Genomic DNA, 5,982 nt, shown 5'->3' with positions numbered 1-5,982 from the left:
GAAAATGAAATACCTAATAATACAGCTAACCAAGGAGGTGAAACATATCTATAAAGAGAACTGCAAAACACTGCTGGAAGAAATCAGAATGACACAAATAAATGGAAAAACATTCTATGCTCAGGGATTAAAAGAATCAATATCTTTAAGATGGCCAAACTGCCCAAAGCAATTAACAGATTCAATGCTATTCCTATCAAACTACCACCATGCTTCACGGAATTTGAAAAAAGCTATTCTAAAATTCACATGGAATAAAAAAAGAGCCTGAATAGGCAAGGCAATCCTAAGCCAAAAGAACAAAGCTGGAGGCACCACACTACCTGACGTGAAACTGTAATATAAGGTTACAGAAACCAAAGCAGCATGGTACTGGTACAAAAACAGACACATAGGCCAATGGAACAGAAGAGAAAATTCAGAAATAAAGCCACACACCTACAGCAATCTAATCTTGCACAAGGCCAACAAAACAAGCAATGGAGAAAGGACTCCCTTTCATATGCAGAAGAATGAAACTGGACTCTTACCTTTCACCATATACAAAAATTAACTCAAGGCGAGCCAAGATGGCCGAATAGGAACAGCTCCTGTCTACAGCTCCCAGCGTGAGCGACGCAGAAGACGGGTGATTTCTGCATTTCCATCTGAGGTACCGGGTTCATCTCACTAGGGAGTGCCAGACAGTGGGCGCAGGTCAGTGGGTGCGCGCACCGTGCGCGAGCCGAAGCAGGGCGAGGCATTGCCTCACTTGGGAAGCGCAAGGGGTCAGGGAGTTCACTTTCCGAGTCAAAGAAAGGGGTGACGGACGCACCTGGAAAATCGGGTCACTCCCACCCGAATACTGCGCTTTTCCGACCGGCTTAAAAAACGGCGCACCACAAGATTATATCCCGCACCTGGCTTGGAGGGTCCTACCCCCACGGAGTCTCGCTGATTGCTAGCACAGCGGTCTGAGATCAAACTGCAAGGCGGCAGCGAGGCTGGGGCAGGGGCGCCCGCCATTGCCCAGGCTTGCTTAGGTAAACAAAGCAGCTGGGAAGCTCCAACTGGGTGGAGCCCACCACAGCTCAAGGAGGCCTGCCTGCCTCTGTAGGCTCCACCTCTGGGGGCAGGGCACAGACAAACAAAAAGACAGCAGTAACCTCTGCAGACTTAAACGTCCCTGTCTGACAGCTTTGAAGAGAGCAGTGGTTCTCCCAGCATGCAGCTGGAGATCTGAGAACGGGCAGACTGCCTCCTCAAGTGGGTCCCTGACCCCCGAGCAGCCTAACTGGGAGGCATCCCCCAGCAGGGGCACACTGACACCTCACACGGCAGGGTACTCCAACAGACCTGCAGCTGAGGGTCCTGTCTGTTAGAAGGAAAACTAACAAACAGAAAGGACATCCACACCAAAAACCCATCTGTACATCACCATCATCAAAGACCAAAAGTAGATAAAACCACAAAGATGGGGAAAAAACAGAACAGAAAAACTGGAAACTCTAAAAAGCAGAGCGCCTCTCCTCCTCCAAAGGAACGCAGTTCCTCACCAGCAACGGAACAAAGCTGGATGGAGAATGACTTTGACGAGCTGAGAGAAGAAGGCTTCAGACGATCAAATTACTCTGAGCTACGGGAGGACATTCAAACTAAAGGCAAAGAAGTTGAAAACTTTGAAAAAAATTTAGAAGAATGTATAACTAGAATAACCAATACAGAGAAGTGCTTAAAGGAGCTGATGGAGCTGAAAACCAAGGCTCGAGAACTACGTGAAGAATGCAGAAGCCTCAGGAGCCGATGCGATCAACTGGAAGAAAGAATATCAGCTATGGAAGATGAAATGAATGAAATGAAGCGAGAAGGGAAGTTTAGAGAAAAAAGAATAAAAAGAAATGAGCAAAGCCTCCAAGAAATATGGGACTATGTGAAAAGACCAAATCTACATCTGATTGGTGTACCTGAAAGTGATGGGGAGAATGGAACCAAGTTGGAAAACACTCTGCAGGATATTATCCAGGAGAACTTCCCCAATCTAGCAAGGCAGGCCAACGTTCAGATTCAGGAAATACAGAGAATGCCACAAAGATACTCCTCGAGAAGAGCAACTCCAAGACACATAATGGTCAGATTCACCAAAGTTGAAATGAAGGAAAAAATGTTAAGGGCAGCCAGAGAGAAAGGTCGGGTTACCCTCAAAGGGAAGCCCATCAGACTAACAGCGGATCTCTCGGCAGAAACCCTACAAGCCAGAAGAGAGTGGGGGCCAATATTCACCATTCTTAAAGAAAAGAATTTTCAACCAGAATTTCATATCCAGCCAAACTAAGCTTCATAAGTGAAGGAGAAATAAAATACTTTACAGACAAGCAAATGCTGAGAGATTTTGTCACCACCAGGCCTGCCCTAAAAGAGCTCCTGAAGGAAGCACTAAACATGGAAAGGAACAACCGGTACCAGCCGCTGCAAAATCATGCCAAAATGTAAAGACCATCGAGACTAGGAAGAAACTGCATCAACTAACCAGCAAAAGAACCAGCTAACATCATAATGACAGGATCAAATTCACACATAACAATATTAACTTTAAATGTAAATGGACTAAATGCTCCAATTAAAAGACACAGACTGGCAAATTGGATAAAGAGTCAAGACCCATCAGTGTGCTGTATTCAGGAAACCCATCTCATGTGCAGAGACACACATAGGCTCAAAATAAAAGGATGGAGGAAGATCTACCAAGCAAATGGAAAACAAAAAAAGGCAGGGGTTGCAATCCTAGTCTCTGATAAAACAGACTTTAAACCAACAAAGATCAAAAGAGACAAAGAAGGCTATTACATAATGGTAAAGGGATCAATTCAACAAGAAGAGCTAACTATCCTAAATATATATGCACCCAATACAGGAGCACCCAGATTCATAAAGCAAGTCCTGAGTGACCTACAAAGAGACTTGGACTCCCACACATTAATAATGGGAGACTTTAACACCCCACTGTCAACATTAGACAGATCAACGAGACAGAAAGTCAACAAGGATACCCAGGAATTGAACTCAGCTCTGCACCAAGCGGACCTAATACACATCTACAGAACTCTCCACCCCAAATCAACAGAATATACATTTTTTTCAGCACCGCACCACACCTATTCCAAAACTGACCACATACTTGGAAGTAAAGTTCTCCTCAGCAAATGTAAAAGAACAGAGATTATAACAAACTATCTCTCAGACCACAGTGCAATCAAACTAGAACTCAGGATTAAGAATCTCACTCAAAACCGCTCAACTACATGGAAACTGAACAACCTGCTCCTGAATGACTACTGGGTACATAACGAAATGAAGGCAGAAATAAAGATGTTCTTTGAAACCAATGAGAACAAAGACACAACATACCAGAATCTCTGGGACGCATTCAAAGCAGTGTGTAGAGGGAAATTTATAGCACTAAATGCCCACAAGAGAAAGCAGGAAAGATCCAAAATTGACACCCTAACATCACAATTAAAAGAACTAGAAAAGCAAGAGCAAACACATTCAAAAGCTAGCAGAAGGCAAGAAATAACTAAAATCAGAGCAGAACTGAAGGAAATAGAGACACAAAAAACCCTTCAAAAAATTAATGAATCCAGGAGCTGGTTTTTTGAAAGGATCAACAAAATTGATAGACCACTAGCAAGACTAATAAAGAAAAAAAGAGAGAAGAATCAAATAGATGCAATAAAAAATGATAAAGGGGATATCACCACCGATCCCACAGAAATACAAACTACCATCAGAGAATACTACAAACACCTCTACGCAAATAAACTAGAAAATCTAGAAGAAAAGGATAAACTCCTCGACACATACACTCTCCCAAGACTAAACCAGGAAGAAGTTGAATCTCTGAATAGACCAATAACAAGAGCTGAAATTGTGGCAATAATCAATAGCTTACCAACCAAAAAGAGTCCAGGACCAAATGGATTCACAGCCGAATTCTACCAGAGGTATAAGGAGGAGCTGGTACCATTCCTTCTGAAACTATTCCAATCAATAGAAAAAGAGGGAATCCTCCCTAACTCATTTTATGAGGCCAGCATCATTCTGATACCAAAGCTGGGCAGAGACACAACCAAAAAAGAGAATTTTAGACCAATATCCTTGATGAACATTGATGCAAAAATCCTCAATAAAATACTGGCAAAACGAATCCAGCAGCACATCAAAAAGCTTATCCACCATGATCAAGTGGGCTTCATCCCTGGGATGCAAGGCTGGTTTAATATATGCAAATCAATAAATGTAATCCAGCATATAAACAGAGCCAAAGACAAAAACCACATGATTATCTCAATAGATGCAGAAAAAGCCTTTGACAGAATTCAACAACCCTTCATGCTAAAAACTCTCAATAAATTAGGTATTGATGGGACGTATGTCAAAATAATAAGAGCTATCTATGAGAAACCCACAGCTAATATCATACTGAATGGGCAAAAACTGGAAGCATTCCCTTTGAAAACTGGCACAAGACAGGGATGCCCTCTCTCACCACTCCTATTCAACATAGTGTTGGAAGTTCTGGCCAGGGCAATTAGGCAGAAGAAGGAAATAAAGGGTATTCAATTAGGAAAAGAGGAAGTCAAATTGTCCCTGTTTGCAGACGACATGATTGTATATCTAGAAAACCCCATTGTCTCAGCCCAAAATCTCCTTAAGCTGGTAAGCAACTTCAGCAACGTCTCAGGATACAAAATCAATGTACAAAAATCACAAGCATTCTTATACACCAACAACAGACAAACAGAGAGCCAAATCATGAGTGAAATTCCATTCACAATTGCTTCAAAGAGAATAAAATACCTAGGAATCCAACTTACAAGGGATGTGAAGGACCTCTTCAAGGAGAACTACAAACCACTGCTCAAGGAAATAAAAGAGGATACAAACAAATGGAAGAAAATTCCATGCTCATGGGTAGGAAGAATCAATATCATGAAAATGGCCATACTGCCCAAGGTAATTTACAGATTCAATGCCATCCCCATCAAGCTACCAATGACTTTCTTCACAGAATTGGAAAAAATTACTTTAAAGTTCATATGGAACCAAAAAAGAGCCCGCATCGCCAAGTCAATCCTAAGCCAAAAGAACAAAGCTTGAGGCATCACACTACCTGACTTCAAACTATACTACAAGGCTACAGTAACCAAAACAGCATGGTACTGGTACCAAAACAGAGATATAGATCAATGGAACAGAACAGAGCCCTCAGAAATAATGCCGCATATCTACAACTATCTGATCTTTGACAAACCTGAGAAAAACAAGCAATGGGGAAAGGATTCCCTATTTAATAAATGGTGCTGGGAAAACTGGCTAGCCATATGTAGAAAGCTGAAACTGGATCCCTTCCTTACACCTTATACAAAAATCAATTCAAGATGGATTAAAGACTTACATGTTAGACCTAAAACCTTAAAAACCCTAGAAGAAAACCTAGGCATTACCATTCAGGACATAGGCATGGGCAAGGACTTCATGTCTAAAACACCAAAAGCAATGGCAACAAAAGACAAAATTGACAAATGGGATCTAATTAAACTAAAGAGCTTCTGCACAGCAAAAGAAACTACCATCAGAGTGAACAGGCAACCTACAAAATGGGAGAAAATTTTTGCAACCTACTCATCTGACAAAGGCCTAATATCCAGAATCTACAATGAACTCAAACAAATTTACAAGAAAAAAACAAACAACCCCATCAAAAAGTGGGCGAAGGACATGAACAAACACTTCTCAAAAGAAGACATTTATGCAGCCAAAAAACACATGAAAAAATGCTCATCATCACTGGCCATCAGAGAAATGCAAATCAAAACCACAATGAGATACCATCTCACACCAGTTAGAATGGCAATCATTAAAAAGTCAGGAAACAACAGGTGCTGGAGAGGATGTGGAGAAATAGGAACACTTTTACACTGTTGGTGGGACTGTAAACTAGTT

At 41.7% G+C, this 5,982-nt stretch overlaps 1 annotated feature.

Annotated features, from left to right (window-relative positions):
* Positions 751-1,397: an enhancer, noted in NCBI's record as "H3K27ac-H3K4me1 hESC enhancer chr1:168323282-168323928 (GRCh37/hg19 assembly coordinates)". NCBI's record gives its function as "activates a minimal SCP1, AML or CMV promoter by ChIP-STARR-seq in naive H9 embryonic stem cells {active_cell/tissue: H9 hESC(naive)}" and the evidence as "EXISTENCE:reporter gene assay evidence [ECO:0000049][PMID:30033119]".

Source organism: Homo sapiens, chromosome 1, assembly GCF_000001405.40.
Source record: "Homo sapiens chromosome 1, GRCh38.p14 Primary Assembly".
Classification (NCBI taxonomy): Eukaryota; Metazoa; Chordata; class Mammalia; order Primates; family Hominidae; genus Homo; species Homo sapiens.
The sequence above is the reverse complement of the archived record's forward strand: the minus strand, read 5'-3'. Positions and strand labels throughout refer to the sequence as shown.